General features: G+C 39.8%; 1 pseudogene across 1 annotated transcript in view; it reads left to right on the top strand.

Annotated features, from left to right (window-relative positions):
• MRPL45P2 (mitochondrial ribosomal protein L45 pseudogene 2) overlaps window positions 1-12,227 on the top strand; it is a 42,394-nt pseudogene extending 30,167 nt beyond the window's left edge. Inside the window, exons 5-6 of the transcript NR_033934.1 lie at window positions 5,661-5,770; window positions 11,576-12,227. The product of NR_033934.1 is annotated as a mitochondrial ribosomal protein L45 pseudogene 2 (transcript). The remainder of the gene's footprint in view (window positions 1-5,660; window positions 5,771-11,575) is intronic.
• The last annotated feature ends 8,224 nt before the right edge of the window (window positions 12,228-20,451 follow it).

The raw sequence follows: 20,451 nt of genomic DNA, 5'->3' as shown, positions 1-20,451 counted from the left end.
TTTAACAGTGTATCACTTTGTTGCCCAGGCTAGAGTGCAGTGATATAGTCATAGCTCACTGCAGCTTCAAACTCCTGAGTTCAAATGATCCTCCTGCCCCAGCCTCCTGAATAGGTGGGACCACAGGCACACCATGCCTGGCTAATATTTTTTTCTTTTTGTATTTTTTGTAGAGACAAGCGGTTTCGCTTTGTTGCCAAGGCTGGTCTCGAACATCTGGGCTCAAACTATCCCCCTGCCTCATCCTCCCAAAATGTTGGGATTACAGGCATGAGCCCTTGGGCCCGGCCTATTTGTATACACTTAAGTCAATTTTGGTGCGCTCTATTTTTCCAAGAAATTTGACTACTTTGTATAAGTTGCTGAAATTTTTGGACTAACATTGCCAATAGTATTTATTTATTTATTTATTTATTTATTGGGATGGAGTCTTGCTCTGTCACCCAAGCTGGAGTGCAGTGGCATGAGCTCGGCTCACTGCAGACTCCACCTCCCAGGTTCAAGTGATTCTCTGCCTCAGCCTCCCGAGTAGCTGGGATTACAGGCGGGCACCACCACACCCAGCTAATGTTTTTTATTTTTAGTACAGAGAGGATCTTGCCATGTTGGCCAGTCTGGTCTTGAACTCCTGACCTCAGGTGATCCACCCGCCTTGGCCTCCCAGAGTGCTGGGATTACAGGCACAAGCCACCGCACCTGGCCGTCAATGGTATTTTATTATTATTTTGTTAATTTTGCTAGCATTGGTGGTTATTACCCCATAGTTATTCCTGATGTTGGTATTTTTTTTTTTTTGATACCGAGCCTTGCTCTTGTTACCCAGGCTGGAGTGCAGTGGTGGGATCTCGGCTCACTGCAACCTCCGCCTCCCTGGTTCAAGCAATTCTCCTGCCTCAGCCTCCTGAGTAGCTGGGATTACAGGCATGCGCCATCACGCCTGGCTAATTTTCTGTATTTTTAGTAGAGACGGGGTTTCACCATGTTGGCCGGGCTGGTCATGAACTCTTGACCTCAGGTGATCCACCCACCTTGGCCTCCCAAAGTGCTGGGATTACAGGCGTGAGCCACCACACCCGGCCAGATGTTGGTGATTTGTATTCTGGTTTTTCTTTGTTTTTATTTTTATTTTTTTGACCAGTCCAAATAGAATCATTCAGTTGTGTTGACCTTTTAAAGAAGTTTTGGGCTTTGTTAATTTATTATGCCATCTCCCTGTTTTCTATTGTGTTAAACTTCTGCTCTTTACTATTTCCTTCCTACTACTTACTATGTGTTATATTTTCCTCTTCTTTTCTAACTTATAAAGGTGGAACCTTAGGTCTTTTATTTTAGATATTCTTTTCTAATGAAAATATATATGCTGCAAGTTCCTCTCTATTTTATTGAATCCCACAAGTTGTGTTTTTTTGTTTTTGTTTTTGTTTTTGCCGTTGTTGTTGTTTTGAGACAGGGTCTCAATTTGTCACCCAGGCTGGAGGGCAGGGGTGTGATCTCGGTTCACTGAAGCCTCGACCTCCTGGGTTCAAGCGATCCTCCTACCTCAGCCCCTCAAGCAGCTGGGACTACGGGTGCACGCCACTTTATCTGGCTAATGTTTTTGTATTTGTTGTAGAGACAGGGTTTCACCATGTTGCCCAGGCTGGTCTCAAACTCCTGAGCTCAAGCGATTAACAGGCGTGAGCCACTGTCCCCAGCCTACGTCTCAAGTTGTGATAAATTTCATGTTTGTTGCCATTCCGTTCAAGACATTTTCCAGTTTCCCTTGTGACTTTCTCTTGACTGCCTTAGTCTACCTTGGACAGAAGTAGAAGTCTTCTGCTGTTTGTTCTTAACATTGATTTTCCCTCTTATTTCTTATTTCTCTTCTGTTCTTTTTGTGATTATTTTTTAGTGCTGTATTTTAATCAGTTTAACAATGCAACTAGATAGTATTGCATTTAAACTTAATTAATTATATTAAGTTGCCTTAAAATGCCTTTTTGGCCATATCTCTTCCTATTTATATAAGTATTTATATTTATCTATATAGTGGTTGCTGTAGGGATTATAATTTTCTTATCAGTAAATTCAGTCTACTGAGTGTACCACTTTTTTTTTCTTTTTGAGACGGTGTCTTGCTGTGTCGCCCAGGCTGGACTGCAGTGGCACTATCTTGGCTCACTGCAACCTCCACCTCCCGGGTTCAAGCAGTCCTCCTGCCTCAGCCTCCTGAGTGGCTGGGACTACAGGCACACACCACTACACTCAGCTAATTTTTGTATTTTTAGTAGAGACATGGTTTCGCTATATTGGCCAGGCTGGTCTGAAACTCATGACCTCGAGTGATCTGCCCGCCTTGGCTATCCAAAGTATTGGGATTACAGGGGTGAGCCACCGCATCTGGCCTGTGTGTACCACTTAACACGAAATGCAGAATGAAACCATATAGACTTCTTTTACCTGTTCCTTTTCGAGTCTTTGCTGTAGTTTTATAGGAAAGCTACATACATCCACAGACCGTACCAGTGTTTTAATATTTAGTGTAAGTGGTCATTTGTATTGTAAATGAGTGTGAAGGCATTGTTGTTTTATATGTGCATTATATATTAAATGTACCTACATGTTTGTCGCTCTTTATATTTTTCTTCAGTTCTGAGCTTCCTTCTGGAGTCATTTTCCTATTGCCCAAGGAAAATTATTTGGTGTTCCCTTTAATGGAAATCTTTTACATAATGTTTTCTGGCTTTATTTAGTTATCTAGTTTTTCGTTTGATAACTTGCCTTTTGTTTTTAAGATTTTCATTTCTTTCCCTTAGTTTTCTGTAGTTTTATTAATGTTCCTTAGTGTATTTATTTACTCTGATTTATAGTGGTTCTTCAGTCAGTGGCTTTGGGTCTTCTGTTCTGGAAAATTTTTAGGCATTATCAGTTCAGATACTGCTTTCATGCCATTTTCTCTCTCATACTTCTCCGAGACTCTGATTACAGGTGTGTTAGACCTGCCTGCCTATTACATTTTTCATGTGTCTTATTCCATTTTTTGTATTTCTTACTTTTGTGCTAACATTCTGGATTTCTTCTTCTGACCTGTTGTGTTCCTACTAATTCTCTTTTCATCCATGTCTAAACTGCTGTTAATCCCACCCACTGATTTTTTTTTTCTTGAGATAGGGACTCTGTCACCCAGGCTGGATTGCAGTGGCACAATAATCGTTCACAACAACCTCCAACTCCTGGGCTCAAGCAATCCTCCCACCTCAACCTCCTGAGTAGCTGGGACTATAGGTGCATGCCGCCGCACCTGGCTCATTATTTTTTTTTTTGTAGAGATGGGGTCTCACTTTGTTACCTAGGGTGGTCTTGAACTCCTGGTCTCAAGCGATCTGCCTCAGCCTTCCAAAGTACTGGGCTTACAGGCATGAGCCACTGTGCCTGACTGATTTCTAAATTTCCGCTTTACTTCTGGAATTTTAATTTATTATTATAGTTTTTGGTTCTTTGCATCAATTTAGAATTTTGTCTTGTGTGTACTTGATCATAGTAAGCATACTTATTTTAAAATCTTTATCTGATAACTCCAAAATACTGATCTGTTTTGATTTTTGTGTTTCTCCTTATTCTCATTCATATTGTCTTGTCTGTCATGTGTTTGGTACTTATTATTGTGCTGGAAATTATATGTAATTAAGAAATTTTAGGCTGGGTGTGGTGACGCATGTCTGTATTCCCACCACTTTGGGAGGCTGAGACTGGTGGATCACTTGAGGTCAGGAGTTCGAGACCAGCCTGGTCTACACAGTGAAACCTCATATCTACTAAAAATACAAAAATTAGCCAGGTGTGGTGGTGGGCACCTGTAATCCCAGCTACTTGGGAGGCTGAGGCAGGAGAATTGCTTGAACTGGAAGGAGGAAGTTGCAGTGAGCCGAGATCACGCCAGTGCAGTCCAGCCTGGGCCATAGACCAAGGCTTTGTCTCAAAAAAAAAAAAAAAAAAAAAAAGGTAGAAATAATTTGTAGCCAAAATGATACTATTTTCTTTTAGAGAGGATGTATATTTGCATCTGCTTCGTGCCTTGGGGGTTGTAATTTCGGATTACCTTCATCAAATTTCAGAGTTTGAGATGGTCAGAGCCCTGGTGTCCTCTCTTTGAGGGTCTATGTACTTTTTTTTTTTTTTTTTGAGATGGAGTCTTGCTCTGTCGCCCAGGCTGGAGTGCAGTGGCGCGATCTCGGCTCACTGCAAGCTCCGCCTCCTGGGTTCACGCCATTCTCCTGCCTCAGCCTCCCGAGTAGCTGGGACTACAGGCGCCCGCCACCACGCCCGGCTAATTTTTGGTGTTCTTAGTAGAGTCAGGGTTTCACCGTGTTAGCCAGGATGGTCTCGATCTCCTGACCTCGTGATCCGCTCGCCTCGGCCTCCCAAAGTGCTGGGATTACAGGCGTGAGCCACCGCGCCCGGCGAGGGTCTATGTACTTTTAGTGTATTCTCACCCCTGGTTTGCCATTCAGTGTTGCATCTGAAAGGAGGAGAGGGGTTTACTTGTTCTCTTTTTCTCTTGGTTGTTTGTGAATGTACATCCCTGTACTGTGGGGCCTCTGAGTTTGTCAAAAGTACCCTTCAGGCCGGGCGCGGTGGCTCACGCCTGTAATCCCAGCACTTTGCGAGGCTGAGGTGGGCGGATCACCTGAGGTCAGGAGTTCGAGACCAGCCTGACCAACGTGGAGAAACCCCACCCCTACTAAAAATACAAAATTAGCCGGGTGTGGTGGCGCATGCCTGTAATCCCTGCTACTCGGGAGGCTGAGGCAGGAGAATTGCTTGAACCCAGGAGGCGGAGTTTGCAGTGAGCCAAGATCACGCCATTGCACTCCAGCCTGGGCAACAAGAGCGAGACTCTGTCTAAAAAAAAAAAAAAAAAAGAATTGTACCCTTCATCCTCACCACCGCTTTCTCTGAAATAGGCAAATGTTCCCTGGGCAAAAGTGGCCAAAAACTGTACCTAGGACTTACATTCTTTTCCAGTTTTAGCCCAGAAATTCCTCACTATCACATCAGCTCCTTAATACCTTCAGTCAGGAGACTGAGGCAGGAGAATTGCTTGAACCCAGGAGGCGGAGGTTGCGGTGAGCCGAGATTGTGCCATTGCACTCCAGCCTGGGCAACAAGAGGGAAACTCCATCTCATAAAATATATATATTTAATACCAAATTTAAAACTTGTCCAATTAAAATAGTGAAATGATTATTACTAATATTAAAAATATTGACACCAAGATAAAAATAATTTCATGTTGACATTTAAAAAGATTAAGATAATTAAATTTTATCATAAGTATTAAACTTTAAAAACCTCCTTTTATAGTGGTTGTCATTAGTAGTGTTGATCTGAATATTTAGTCTGCCTGTATAAGAAGTGTTAGTGCCAAGAACTGAATTTATAAATGTTTCCCTTTATTTATGCTTGTGTACATCATAACTGGGGAAATGATTAAGAATGCTTTTTTTTAGTAGTGGTTTGAGTATTCTCAAGCAATGGAAGTAAGACAGCAATGAGAATTTGTTAATGTCCTTGTTGTGCATTTGTTTCAATAGACATTGTAGGGATCTGTTAAGGAAGTTAATGATGTTAATTTGCTTTTGATAAAACTGAAAAGATGACATTTATTTATTTATTTTTAGGTTGGGCCCATGAGATGTGTGCTCTGTATATTCCGGAGGTACAATTTGCCAGTGTTTCCACAATGGAACCAATTGTTTTACAGTCTGTTCCACATGATCATTGTAATAAGGTACAGTGGATATTATTTTATTACTGTTTGAATATCACTGCTGGGAAATAGAAAGGAAGTCTTTGTATTTTTAAAATTATAGTTCTCCCCAACCTGGCTAATACGGTGAAACCCCGTCTCTACTAAAAATACAAAAATTAGCTGGGCATGGTGGCGGGCACCTGTAGTCCCAGCTATTCGGGAGGCTGAGGCAGGAGAATGGCGTGAACCTAGGAGGCAGAGCTTGCAGTGAGCCGAGAGCGCACCACTGCACTCCAGCCTGGGCAACAGAGCGAGACTCTGTCTCAAAAAAAAAAAAAAAAATTGTAGGTCTCCATCAAATTCAGGGAGATGTGGAAAAAAATTACTACACCAAACTACAATTATTAAAATGTTATTAATATGTTACTAAGGTCACAGGAGTACAAAGCAAGCAAAACTGTGTTACCTTTCATAGTAACCTAGGTATTTAGTATTCTACGATTTACAGGATATTTTAATCCTTACAGATTGGCCCTTTATGAATTACTGACCTCTTTTGCTCTTTCAGGTATCAAGAGTCTGGTAAATTTGAATTAATTATTATTTTGCATAATATTCATTACAATGTATCATACATTCTTTTTTAAAAAACAGTCCTATATTAGAATGTTACTTGTCCCCCCCCTCAAGTTATTTGTACCCCAAGATACGGTTTTTATTGTTGGCCTTAAAAAAAAAACTTAATGTTTGCTTTTTTCCTGTATGTTTTTCTTCATTTAGTATGTTATTGTTTTATTCTCCTCTGCATTTTAGGTTTCACCATTACCCAATGTGCCTTTAAATACAGTTTTACCACTTAATTGAAGGTACACATTCCAACTGTGGAAGAAATTGCAGCCAGCTTTAAGATTTTAAATGTTTTTGTGCAAAAAAACTTTTTATTATGTAATTAATATTTATTTTATTTTATTTTATTTTACTTTTTATTTATTTATTTTTTTTGAGACAGAGTCTCACTCTGTCACCCAGGCTGGAATGCAGTGGCATGATCTCGGCTCACAGCAACCTCTGCCTCCCGGGTTCAAGCAATTCTCCTGCCTTAGCCTCCTGAGTAGCTGGGATTACAGGTGCCCACTATCACGCCCGACTAATTTTTCTATTTTTTAGTAGAGACGGGGTTTTTTCTGTGTATTTTTGCTTATAGTATATACTTACGAAAAAGTTGAATCGTTTTGCTTATATTTTTTGTTTGCTTTTGAAAATTACACAGCATCTTTTGTGTGTCAATAAATTGTGTTTCTGCTGTATTTTTAATAGATACTTGGTCTGTAATACAGAATATCATGAGATTCAACAAACTGTAAATTTAATTAAGCAACCCTTTGTGGTTGAAGGGCCTAGTTTGGTGTCTGGCATTTAGTATACACTGCTAGCATCTGTGTAAAAGTGTGTGAACATTTTGGAAGCTTCAAGAAATACATTGTGTGAAATTGTCCTCTAGAACTTACACTGTATTAGCTGTATGTGAGATTGCTCATAACTCTATATTTTGTTAGGTACACTGTGTTACCCTTAAAAAAATCTTTGCTATTCTTTCTAGTAAAAAAAATATTAAAATGTTTGAATGAGTTTCTTTGAGTACTGGTAAGGTTGGTTATTTTAAAGTTTTTTTTTGAAGATTATTCATGTATGTTAATTGACCTTCCATATCTGTTTATTTTAATATTATAATTTTTTTTACAAAGTGTTTTATATTAGAGATCATATTCTTTTGTCTCGTATATTTGCTGTGTGTGTTTTTTCCCATAGTTTAACGTTTGGTGTTTAATTTTATTATGTCTTCATAGTTTTTGTTATTGGGATTCTAGCAGGTTAATTTTTTCTAATGCACAAGTTTACATTTTTGAGGTAATTTATGCAAATGCTCTTTATTGTTTCTGCCTTTGATGCCGTGCAAAGAAAATCTTTATATTAATGCACTTTTTTTTTAGTGCTTTGGAAGTTCATTTTTAAAAACCTTGTTTTTCTTTTTAATTTTAAAAGCGTTAAAACTTACAAACAGGTTGCAGGAATAGTACAAAAGAACTCTTCCTTCCCTAAACCATTTGAGAGTAACTTACCAATATAATATGCTGTCACCCCTGAATACTTCAGAATTTCCCATAAAGAAGAATATTCTCCTGGGAATATACAATATAACATCAAAATAAGGAAATTAACAGCGATGCATTATTCCTGTCTGATCTTTGGAACCCATTCGTGTTTTTGTAGACATATTCTTTATAGCAAAAGGATCATAAACTGCATTTTGACTCTTTGGTCTTTTTATTTATTTTTCTTTTTATTTTTGTACAGAGTCTCGCTCTGTCACCCAGGCTGGAGTGCATTGGCGCAATCTTGGCTCACTGTAGCCTCCACCTCCTGGGTTCAAGTGATTCCCGTGCCTCAGCCTCCCCAGTAGCTGGGATTACAGGTGTGCACCACCACGTCCAGCTGATTTTTTTGTGCTTTTAGTAAAGACAGGCTCTTGCCATGTTGGCCCGGGTGGTCTCGAACTCCTGGCCTCAAGTGATCTGCCTGCCTCAGCCTCCCAAACTGTTGGCATTACAGGTCTATGCCACCACACCCAGTCCTCTTTTGTCTTTTTAAATCTCAAATAGTAACTCAGTCTTTCCCTGAGTTTCATAACTTTGATACTTCTGAATATTACAGGTCAGTTATTTTGTAGAATGACCTCCTATTTGGATTTGCCTGATGTTTCGTCATGATTAAAAGCAGTTATGTTTTTAGCAGGAGTATCACATACGTGATTCTGTGTTTTTTGTTTGCATCCTATCAGGTGGTACATGATTTCAGTTTTTCCTTGACCACTTGGTTAAGGTGTGTCTTTTAGGTTTCTCCACTGTGAGGTTAATCTTTTTTCTCTTTATAGTCAGTATGGATTTTGTGGGGGAAGTACTTCGCCTATAAACATCTTGTTCCTTGCGCCTTTTCCTCACTAATTTTAGCATTCATTGATGTTTCTTGGCCTAATTTATGACCAGGATTGATGGCAAGTAGTGATTTTCTAATTTCACCTTTTCTTTCACATTCATCAGTTGACGTTCCGCTGTAAGGTGAAGCTTTCTTTACTCCCTGATTATTTGTATTAGTATGGACTTATGCTATTTTATTTTAATGGGTCATATTCCACTAATGTCATTTATTTTGATTTACATACTGTCTCAGGTTTTCCTGGTGGGACCTCTTTAAGCCGGCTTCTGTGTCTTTTGACCTATCATTTCAGAGAAGCATTTCTCTACTTCTGACACAACAGTATAATCTAGGCTCATCTTATATTATTCCTGCTGTAGTTCTGAAATCACCATTTCTCTGAGGAGCCTTGATTCCTTTTAGGTGAGAATAATATTTAGAAGCCAAAGTGGGTGCTAGGTGTGGGTTATTGCTACTCTCAGTCAGCATGGCTAGGAAATTGTGTGTGTGTGTGTGTGTGTGTGTGTGTGTGTGTGTATTCCTACAGAGATACATGTTTCTATAAATTCACATCTTATATTGTTTTTATATCTAAGTAGAAAACTGTGGGCCAGGCACGATGGCTCACACCTGTAATCCTAGCACTTTGGGAGGCCGAGGCCAGTGGGATGACTTGAGGTCCGGAGTTCAAAACCAGCCTGGCTAATGAAACCCCATCTCTAATAAAAATACAAAAATTAGCCGGGCATGGTGGGGCACGCCTGTAATCCCAGCTGCTTGGGAGGCTGAGGCATGACGAGAATCACTTGAGCCCTGGAGGCAGAGAGGGTGCAGTGAGCCAATATCACACCACTTCACTCCAGCCTGAATGACGGAGTGAGAGTCTGTCTCAAAAAAAAAAAAAAAATTGGCTGGGTCCAGTGGCTCATGCCTCTAGTCCCAGAACGTTGGGAGGCCGAGGCAGGTGGATCATGAGGTCAGGAGTTCAAGACCAGCCTGGCTAAGATGGCGAAACCCCGTCTTTACTAAAAAATACAAAAATTAGTCGGGTGTGGTAGCAGGCACCTGTAATCCCAGCTATTCAGGAGGCTGAGGCAGGAGAATTGCTTGAACCCAGGAGGCGGAGGTTGCTGTGAGCCAAGATTGTGCCACTGCACCTCAGCCTGGGCGACAGAGCAAGACTCCATCTCAAAAAAAAAAAATTAGCTGGGCATGGTGGTGGACGCCTGTAATCCCAGCTATTCGGGAAGCTGAGACAGGAGAATTGCTTGAACCTGGGAGTCGGAGGTTGCAGTGAACCAAGATTGTGCCACTGCACTCCAGCCTGGGTGACAGAATGAGACGCTGTCTCAAAAAAAAAAGAGAACAAACTGTGAGGTCACAATACTTTTGATTCATTATGTGAATATACATACACACTCACATCTCTATTACTGTATCCATCTCTATATATTGAACTCCATATGCTCATATTAACTTCGCCAAATCCAACCCAACAAAACAGGATTCATTTTAATTTTTCCCCCCATATTTATGATTCTCAGACAGAAACCTGACTCTCACTATTTTTAATAGTTTACTTATTTGATCAATTTCTCCTGTTTTGACATACCTTCTGTTGCTGCTCCACCTAAGGCAGATGCTGTTCCAACCCAGTTCAGGGTTGCTGCTACTTTCCTGCATGCCAGTCCTTTTCACCCCTCTTGGGATTTGATATTCAGCCTCAGTTCACTGCTTCAACTTTTGTTGATCTTTTCACCTTGCTCTGAGATTGTCCTCACCCCTATCCCCAACCCCTTAGGGAAGCCAGCCTTATTCAGGCTCTTATACTAGTATTGTACTGCCCCCTCCAATATCCATGACCCCCTCATGGATAATTACTATGCTTGAACTCACCTCATGGCTTTTGGGTCTCATTTTGTCACCCAGGCTGGAGTGCAGTGGTGCAGTTTTGGCTCACTACAGCCTTGACCTCTTGGGCTCAAGCAGTCCTTCCACTTTAGCCCTCTAAGTAGATGGGACTACAAGGTGCACCCATCCCACCCAGCTAAGTTTTCTGTATTATTTGTAGAGTTGAGATTTCATCATGTTGCCCAGGCTGGTCTTGAACTCCTGAGTCAAGTGAACTGCCTGCTCTGGCCTCCCAAAATGCTAGGATTACAGGCATGAGCCACCATGCCTATGCTAGGATTACAGGCATGAGCCACCATGCCTATGCTAGGATTACAGGCGTGAGCCACCATGCCTAGCCCCATCTCATGGCTTTAAGACTAAAGTGTTGAAGCAGAAAAGGAGCGAGGGTAGACCAAAGAAGGAATTATTTAGATATAAATATTTTATTAGCCTAGAATTAATTTTAGAATATGGTAAGATACGTGCCCAACTTTCCCCTCCCACCTGGTTAGTCAACTTTTTCAACACTATTGCTGAATAATCTATGTTTTCCATTGTGATTTGAAATCTTGTTTGAATCATTACTAAATTCTTGAATACTTGAGTATGTTTCTGGACTTTTTATGTGTTCCATTGGTGTGTCTATTTTTATCCTGGTGCCACACTATTTTAAATTATTATAGCTTTATATACATTTTAGTATATGGTAAGACAAATATTGTCATCTATTTTTCTAGATGAACATTAGGACTAATAAGCACACAATTTAGACTATATTAGAGTTACAGTGAAATACTGTTTTAGGGATGAATATATTTTTACAATATTGAATCCTTCCTTCCAGAAGCGTGGTGTATCTGTTTATCAAGTTTATTTTTTTCTTCTTTCTATTTCTTTCCTTTTTACAGCTTTTCTTATATGTGATTGCTTTATGTTTGTCGGATTTTTGTTGTTGATGATTTGTTTTGTTCTACTTAGGGTTAGAATAGGCTCAGTGGCTCATGCCTATAGTCCTAGCACTTTGGGACGCCCAGGCAGGAGTATCACTTGAGCCCAGAAGTTTGAATCCAGTCTGGACAACAAGCAAGACCCTGTCTCTACAAAAAAGAATAAATTTAGCCAGGTGTGGGGAGGCACATGTGTCTGTAGTCCCAACTACTCAAGAGGCTGCGGTGGGAGGGTCCCTTGAGCCCAGAGGTCAAGGCTGCAGTGAACCGTGACTGTGCCCTGCACCCCCACCTGGGCAACAGAGCAAGACCCTGTCTCAGAAAAGAACAGCAAGCAAAGAAACACAAAACAAAAAAGAAAGAAAGTTAATGGACCGGGTGTGGTGGTTCACACCTATAATTTCAGTACTTTGGGAGGTTGAAGTGAGAGGATTGCTTGAGCCCAGGAGTACCAGACCAGCCTGGGCAACATTCTGAGAACCCACCTCTGCAAAAAAGAAAAACAATTAGCCGGGCATGGTGGTGCTCGCCTGTAGTCCCTCCCAACTACTCGAGAGGCTGAGGTGGGAGGATCTCTTGAGCCTGGGAGGTCAAGGCTGCAGTGAGCTATGATTGTGTGACTGTACTCCAGCCCAGGTAACAGAGTGAAACCCTGTTTCAAAAAAATAAAAAAAGTTAATAAGGTTTTGTTCATATAAATTATTTATGCCTAATAATGGGGCATGCAATTCTGAAATGACAGGAATGATTGGAAAATGGGCTTGAAGACATCAGTCCTTAATGGATGGTAGGTAATAAAGGATAAGTTTGGGAACATTTATTTACTGGGCATTTACTATGGACCTACTTTGTATCAAGTGTTGTGTTAGACACCAGGAATTCAAGGATAAATAAAATAGGGGGTTTCCTCCTCAAGTAGGAAGACAAGTCAATAAATGTATGAAAATTAAAATATATGTTACATAATAATAAGGCTGAATGGAGTATTATGGGCAAATAATGAGAAATTATTCTTGTCTCAGGAATTGAGTAAGGCATACAAAGAGCTTCTAGGGCTTTGCAGAATAATTAGGCATTTGACCTTTGCAGAAAATGATCAACTAAAAATTCCAGACAGAGAAAGTGACGTAACCTAGGGTAGCAGGTGCAAAGGGAAGAGGTGGCAGGTAGGCATGTTCAGAGAATAAGAAATACTCCTATGTGGCTAGAACATTGTGGAATTTAGAAAAAAATGAAATTTTGTGAGTACTGGGAAAAAATTTACTAGAATATCTTTATTGTATATCTAAATAGCAAAGAATTTACTGTATTGACCTGTTAAATTTTCTACATGTCGTTAAATATGTAATGGCCAGTTTTAAAAATACTTATTTCTTTATTTATTTCAGTAGGTTTTTGGGGAACAGGTGGTGTTTGGTTACATGACTAAGTTCTTTAGTGGTGATTGCTGAGATTTCGGTGTACCCATCACCCAAGCAGTGTACACTGTGCCCAGTGTGTAGTCTTCTGTCTCTCACCCCATTCCCATCCTTTCCCCCAAGTCCCCAAAGTTCATTGTGTATCATTCTGATCCCTTTGTGTCCTCATAGCTTAACTTCCTTTTATTTATTTCTTTGTTTGGTTGGTTTTTTTTTTTTGAGACAGAGTCTTGCTCTGTCACCCAAGCTGTAGTGCAGTGGTTCACTCTTGGCTCACTGCAACTTCTACCTCCTGGGTTTAAGCAATTCTCATGCCTCAGCCTCCCAAGTAGCTGGGATTACAGGCATGCATCACCACTCCTGACTAGTTTTTTGTATTTTTAGTAGAGACAGGTTTTCGCCACATTGATCAGGCTGGGCTTGAACTCCTGGCCTCAAGTGATCTGCCCGCCTTGGCTGCCTCCCAAAGTTCTGGGATTACAGGTGTGAGCCAGTGCACCTGGTCTATTTATGTTTTATAGAAAAAGATCTCCCTATGTTGCCCAGGGTGGTCTCTAACTCTTGGTCTCAAGGAATCCTCCTATCTCAGCCTCTCAAAGTGCCGGGATTACAGTCGTGAGCCAGCATCCCTGGCCAGTGGCCAGTTTTTGTACAATTTAAATCATTGTATCCTATTTTTATATTTTTGACTGCTAATATTTTCTTCTGTAACGTGTTAACTCATCATTTCACTGACATGTTTTGTTAAAATTACCTTTTAATAAGTTTTCAGAAATGTGAAGATTGTGGCAACAAAGGGACTTGTGAACTTTTTTGGGGTAGAAGCTTGTATTCTTCAGAGTCAAGGAAGCATTCATTTTAGAAAGCTACAATTTGCATAGAGAGTAGTTAGCAGATGATGAGTATATCATATGTATATGTGTATATATGTATATATATATATATATATATATGCTTTTTTAATAGTCCTTCTTTATTGGATAGCCCTGAAGTAAAGATTATTTATAAGTATAGGAAGGATGATCATAGGCCAAAGAAACAAACAAAAACAGCAAAAAACATGATGTCATCTAATTGTAAGATTAAACCTAATGGAAGGCTTAGAAATTGCTAACCTGTCTCCCCCTTATTTTTTTCCAAAAGTAATAGTAGTGGATAGCAATTAAGTTTTTATCAGTATATTTAGCGTCTGTGTGAAAGATTTTTTTTTTTTTTTTGAGACGGAGTCTCGCTCTGTGGCCCAGGCTGGAGTGCAGTGGCTCAATCTCGGCTCACTGCAATCTCCACCTCCCAGGTTCAAGCGATTCTCCCGCCTCAGCCTCCCAAGTAGCTGGGACTACAGGCCAGGATGGTCTCGATCTCCTGACCTCGTGATCCACCCACATTGGCCTCCCAAAGTGTTTGGATTACAGGCGTGAGCCACTGCGCCTGGCCAGGACTTTTTTTTTTTTTTTTTTTTTGAGGTGGAGTCTCGTTCTGTCGCCCAGGCTGGAGTGCGGTGCTGAGATCTTGGCTTACTGCAACCTCCGCCTCCCAGGTTCAAGCGATTCTCCTGCCTCAGCCCCCGAGTAGCTGGGATTACAGGCATCCACTACTACACCCAGCTAATTTTTTTTTTTTTAAAGGCAGATTCTCACTCCATCACTCAGGTTGGAGTGCAGTGGTGTGATCTTGGCCCAGTGCACCCTCTCTGCCTCCCAGGTCTAAGCGATTCTCGTCATGCCTCAGCCTCCTGAGTAGCTGGGATTATAGGCGGGACCACCATGCCCGGCTAATTTTTGTATTTTTAGTAGAGATGGGGTTTTGCTATGTTGGCCAGGCTGGGCTCGAACTCCTGACCTCAAGTGATCCAGCGGCCTTAGTATCCCAAAATGCTGGGATTACAGGTGTAAGCCACTGCACCTGGCCAAGTAAAAGATATTTTTGAAAGCACCAAATATTCTTTATGGGTTTTAGGACTTCCAAAAATGAGGTTTCAGGTAAATAAGGAAGCTAAACATTTCATCTATCTGCCCATTGATCTCGTCCTCATTTCTGGCATGTCCTCTTATATGTACCAGGTCTGTATGGTGGATAGACGTGCATCAATCGGTGATTGTTAAACAATAATATGTGCAAGGATTTTCGAGGTACAGTGAATGTCCACCTAACCTTTAACAGGACTGAGGAAAGAGGGAGGAGGTATCTTAGAAAAGGTCGCAGTTTTTCCTAAGAGTAAGAAACCTCCAGGTGCTGGCTGTGAAGAGAGGAGAAAGGAAGGAACACATGAGTGGCTGTTAATTTTACAGATTGAAGGAGCAAAAGCTTTGAAGTGGGAAATAACAAGGAGAGTGGTGAGCAGGGGGAGGGATTTGGGATGGTGGCAGGGAGAAGGGTGGTATTGTTAGGACCCTGAATGTGCTAGAATGCTGAGAGGGACTGTCAAGGGTCAGATGTTCAAGCACCTCATGCATAATGTTAAGGAGCCTAAAGTTTATCCCTAAAGTTATTGAAGGGTTTTTATGTTCAGAAAGGATATGCTTAGGTCTGTCATTCTAATGGATTGGGGGAAGGAGGATTGGGAGATGGAAGATAGACGAGACAAGAGACCTAGAATCTATTTAGACTCTGACAGTGTCCCAGACACTGGAATGAGGATCTGAAGTAGTAGGAACAACGGGACAGAGACATTCGGTAATATGTAAGAGCTTCAGCTGACCAGCCTGGTGATCAGTTTAATGTGACAGAGAAGAGGGAGGAAGAAATATCAGAATGGGATTTTCATTTCAAGAATATAAGTACTAGGCTCATCACCACCACATGAGATAGAAAACATACACAAACACACACACACACACACACACACACACACACACACACACACACACACACACAGTGAGTTAGCTGAAACATTTCTTAGAATGAAGAGATAGACACTAAGTTTTAAATTCCTGGCTTACGTTCATGGAACATATTACCCAGTTTGTAAAACAAGTCTTGTGTCTACAAATTGTTCACTGGCATATATTAACAAGATGATAATAAGGCCCCCAGATATTCACATTTGTACGAAAGCATTGAATATATTTGCATTTGTCTATATCTAATAAATGTTTATTTTTGCTTGGCACTTTATACTAGTTACTTAGATGAGTGCTTAAATTAATTTTTCTTTTCTGGAGAATTGAATCATTTTGGAAAGCTAAATCTTGCAGTTCTATCGGTAAAAAAATTATTTTGCTCTTTTTTATACATCAGCTGATTCTCATTTTGAAATTTCCTATTTGACTTCTCTCTGTTGTCTTTGTGTGCTGTCTCTCTCCAGCCCGCTCTCCCCAACCCTAGTTACACATTCTCTTACATTTGGTATTCTCTTTTTCTCAGGAATAGTAAACTATTATTCATTATATTTGTTTCTTGTGGTCTCTCCTCCCCTTCCCCTCCCCTCTTCTTTTTTTCCAACATGGTCTTACTGTTCCCCAGGCTGGAGTGCAGTGGTGCAATTACAGCTCACTGTAGCTTCGACCTCCCAGCCTCAAGTGATCCTCCCACCTCAGCCTCCTGAGTAGCTGGGACTACAGGCATGCACCATCATGTCTGGCTACTTTTGTTTTTATTTTTTGTAGAGATGGGATCTCATTATGTTGCCTAGGCTGGTCTTGAACTCCTGGATTCAGACAACCCCCCTGCCCTGGCCTCCCAAAGTGTTGGAATTACAAGCTTGAGCCACCATGCCTGGCCTCTTTGTGTCTTTTGTGCTTGTCAACTTTATATATTATTTGCTTTCTTACTCTCAACAATTCCAAGACTCAAAGGCCTATTTATTTGATAAGGACTGTGGAAGAATGGCACTATAATATCCCTCATTGTTATTTCTTTTCTCTTAGCTACCAAAGGCAGCAAACATTCCAATCTAAACTTTTGGAAATGGGAGTGTATAGTAGCTAACTTAAAATTGTTCATGAGATTAAAATCTATAATCTCACTTACCAACATTACCTATCTCAGTGCTTTTCTTTTTGTAATATTTATTTATTTAGAGACAGAGTCTATTAGTCCGTCACCCCAGGGTGGACTGCAGTGGACAATTATGGTTCACGATAGCCTCAAACTCCTGGCCTCAATCAATCCGTCCTCCCACCTCAGCCTCTCAAGTAGCTAGGAGTACAAGTGCCACCACCACACCCAGTTTTTTTTTTTTTTAATATTTATAGAATTGGTAGAGAGACAGCGTCTTGCTATATAGCCCAGGCTGGTCATGAACTCCTGGCCTCAAGTTATCCTTCCAACTCAGCCTCCCAAAATGCTGGGATTACACTCAGCCACTATGCCTGGCCCTATCTCAGTATTTTTTTTTTAATGTTCATTTGGCTTCTGGAGTACTCTAGATGATAGGTATTTATATAATATAATCTGATAAGAAATTGATTAGGAGATTTTACAAAAACTGATACTTAAGGGGAGGTTACATTGCTGGGAAACATGGTATCAAAATAAGACAGGTCAAATTTGAGAAATCTCTGATTCTACAGGTTACCCTACAGGTAAGTGACTCAATGTCTCAGTCCTAAATTTCCAGGAGAGCAATTCTGATGTAAGCACCTGGATTTAGAAGCTGTTTTCACCTAGACAAACATGAGTACCTAGGCACCATTCCATTATTAGAAATTGAGCATAGATGCTAATTTCTAGAAAAGAGAGCTGGGTTGTCCAGGTGGGCAAGAAGTTGCAGTTTTGATCAGGCTGCTGCTGCTGCTAATTTTTTTCCAGTTACAAAGTTCCAGGATACACAGTTTGCCTCTTTCTCCCCTACCCCCGGCTGGCCCCCCCATTATAGGTCAAATTTATTTATTTTTTAAAGTTGATAGCATTGACGTATCCTGGAATTGTGACCATTTAAATTCCCAGATAATACACCATGTGATCATCTTTTTATAGGGTTATGTCAAGAACCTTTTGTATGTACCACCTCTTCCCCACAGTGATGAAGAAACAAAGAATGCATGTTAGTTGCAAAAAGTCTGAGTGAAGTAGACTCCTAGATTAACGTGTCTTATGTGACACTAGGAGCATATAGATCATTTTTAAGGGCATATAAGTAACCGTGATGATTAATGTTTACAAATTGGTTTTAATTTTTTGAAACTGTTGTTGTGCCATGTAATCCATTATGGTTTTCTTCACAGAAACATTTAAATGGAGTTTTTTCCTTTATCTAAACTCTTAACCAAAAAATTTTTTTCTTTTGTTTTGAGATGGAGTCTCACTCTGTTGCCCAGGCTGGAGTGCAGTGGTGCAATCTTGGCTCACTGCAACCTCCTCCCCGCGAGTTCAAGCCATTCTTTCAGGTACACATGGAACATTCACTTAGATAGACCATAACCAGGGCTATAAATAAATCTTAATTAATTTAAGAATTTAAATCATGCAAAATATATTCTCTGGCCAAATGTATTAAATTAGAAATCAGGCTTGGCACAGTGGCTCACAACTATAATCCCAACACTTGGGGAGGCCAAGGCAGGAGAAATGCTTGAGCCCAGGAGCTCAAGACCAGCCTGGAACACAAAATGAGACCCCATCTCTACAGAAAAAATGTTTAAAATTAGCCAGGTGTAATGGTGTGTGCCTGTAGTCCCAGTTACTTGCAAGGCTGAGGCAAGAGGTTGCTTGAGCCCAAGAGTTGGAGGCTGCAGTGAACCATGATCATGCCACCTGCACTCCAGCCTGAGCAACAAGCAAGACCCTCTCCCTAAAAGAAATAAATAAATTAGAAATCAATAATAATTAAGATATCTAGAAAATGTCCCAATATTTGGAAATTAAAGACTACATTTCTAAATAACCTACACTTCAAAGAAAAAATCATTAGGTAAATTAGAAAATATTTTAGTAAATGATAAAAAGCACAACATAACAACGTTTGTGAGATGCAATGAAAGACATATTAGGGGAAAATTTGCAGTTTTAATGTTAGAAAAGGATAAAAATCAGTTATCTAAGCTTCTATCTTAACAAGCTAGCAAAGAAGGGTAAATGAAGCCCAAAGTAAACAAAGACCAAATGATAGTAACAATAAAAATATAAACCAATGAAAAAGAAAAACAAAAGAGAAAAGTTAACAAAAATTAACAAAATCACCATTTGTGTAAAATTATTAATAAATTTAATAACTCCCTAGCAAGACTGGTTACAAACAAAAAAGAGAAAATAGAAATTACAAACATCAGGAATGAAAAATAAGACATCACACTATAGACATTAAAAGGATAATAAGGGGATATTATGAACAATTTCATGACAATAAACCTGACAAATTACATAAAATAAACTTTGACAAGACACAGTTCCACTTATAGAAAGTATATTTCTTCTTTATGATACTTACAGAAAGATATAGTGACAACTACAGAAAGATTTAGAAGAGGGAGGCTCTAAAGAGCTATATATCCATTGAATAAATAGAGCTCAATATTTTAAATCTTCAGGAATAGATGGTGAATTCTACCAAACATTTAATGAAAACAATAATCCTAATCATAATCATAAACTGATATGGTTTGGCTGTGTCCCCACCCAAATCTCACCTTGAATTGTAATAATCCTCAAGTGTCAAGGGTGGGGCCAGTGGACATAATCGAATCATGGGGGCAGTGTCCCCATAAGTGAATAAGTCTCACGAGATTTAATGGTTTTTATAAATGGGAGTTCCCCTGCACAAGCCCTCTTGCCTGCCGCCATGTAAGAGGTGAATTTGCTCCTCATTCGCCTTCCACCATGATTGTGAGGTCTCCCCAGCCATATGGAACTGTGAGTCAGTTAAACCTCTTTCTTTTATAACTTACCCAGTCTCAGATATTTCTTTATTAGCAGCATTAGAACCAACTAATGCACAAACTCAACCAGAAATAAAAAAGGGAGGGAAGACTTCCCAACTCATTTTATGAGGTCAGCATAACCCTAACAAAAAAATCTGGAAAAGACACTAAAAGAAAACTATAGACCAATATCCCTCATAAACATACTCTCAAAAATCTTTAATAAAATATTAGAAAATCAATAAGGTTAAGAGCTCTGTTGTATAACATGGTGACTACAGTTAATAACAATGTATAATATTTTTGAAAATTGCTAAGAGAAAAGATTTTGTGTTCTCATCACAAAAATAGGTATGTGAGGTAAAACACGTTAATTAATTCAATTTAGCCATTCCACAATGTATGTACATATTTTGAATCATGCAATATACAGTACATACAATTTGTATTTGTCTATTTAAAAATTAAAGGGTGACTATAGTTAATAATGTATTGAATGTTCTCACTACAAAGAAATGATAAATGTTTGAGCTGATGGTGTGAAAGGAAAATAAATCTCGGTATCCCAAAATCACTAAGCCAAAGGGAAAAGTCAAGCTGGGAACTGTGTCAGGCAAACCTACCTCCCATTCTATTCCTAAAGGAGATAGCAACAGAGATAAAAAATAAAATAAAATAAAATAAAATAAAAT

Source organism: Homo sapiens, chromosome 17 (genome assembly GCF_000001405.40).
Source record: "Homo sapiens chromosome 17, GRCh38.p14 Primary Assembly".
Lineage (NCBI taxonomy): Eukaryota > Metazoa > Chordata > Mammalia > Primates > Hominidae > Homo > Homo sapiens.
This window is presented reverse-complemented; position numbering and strand designations above follow the sequence as displayed.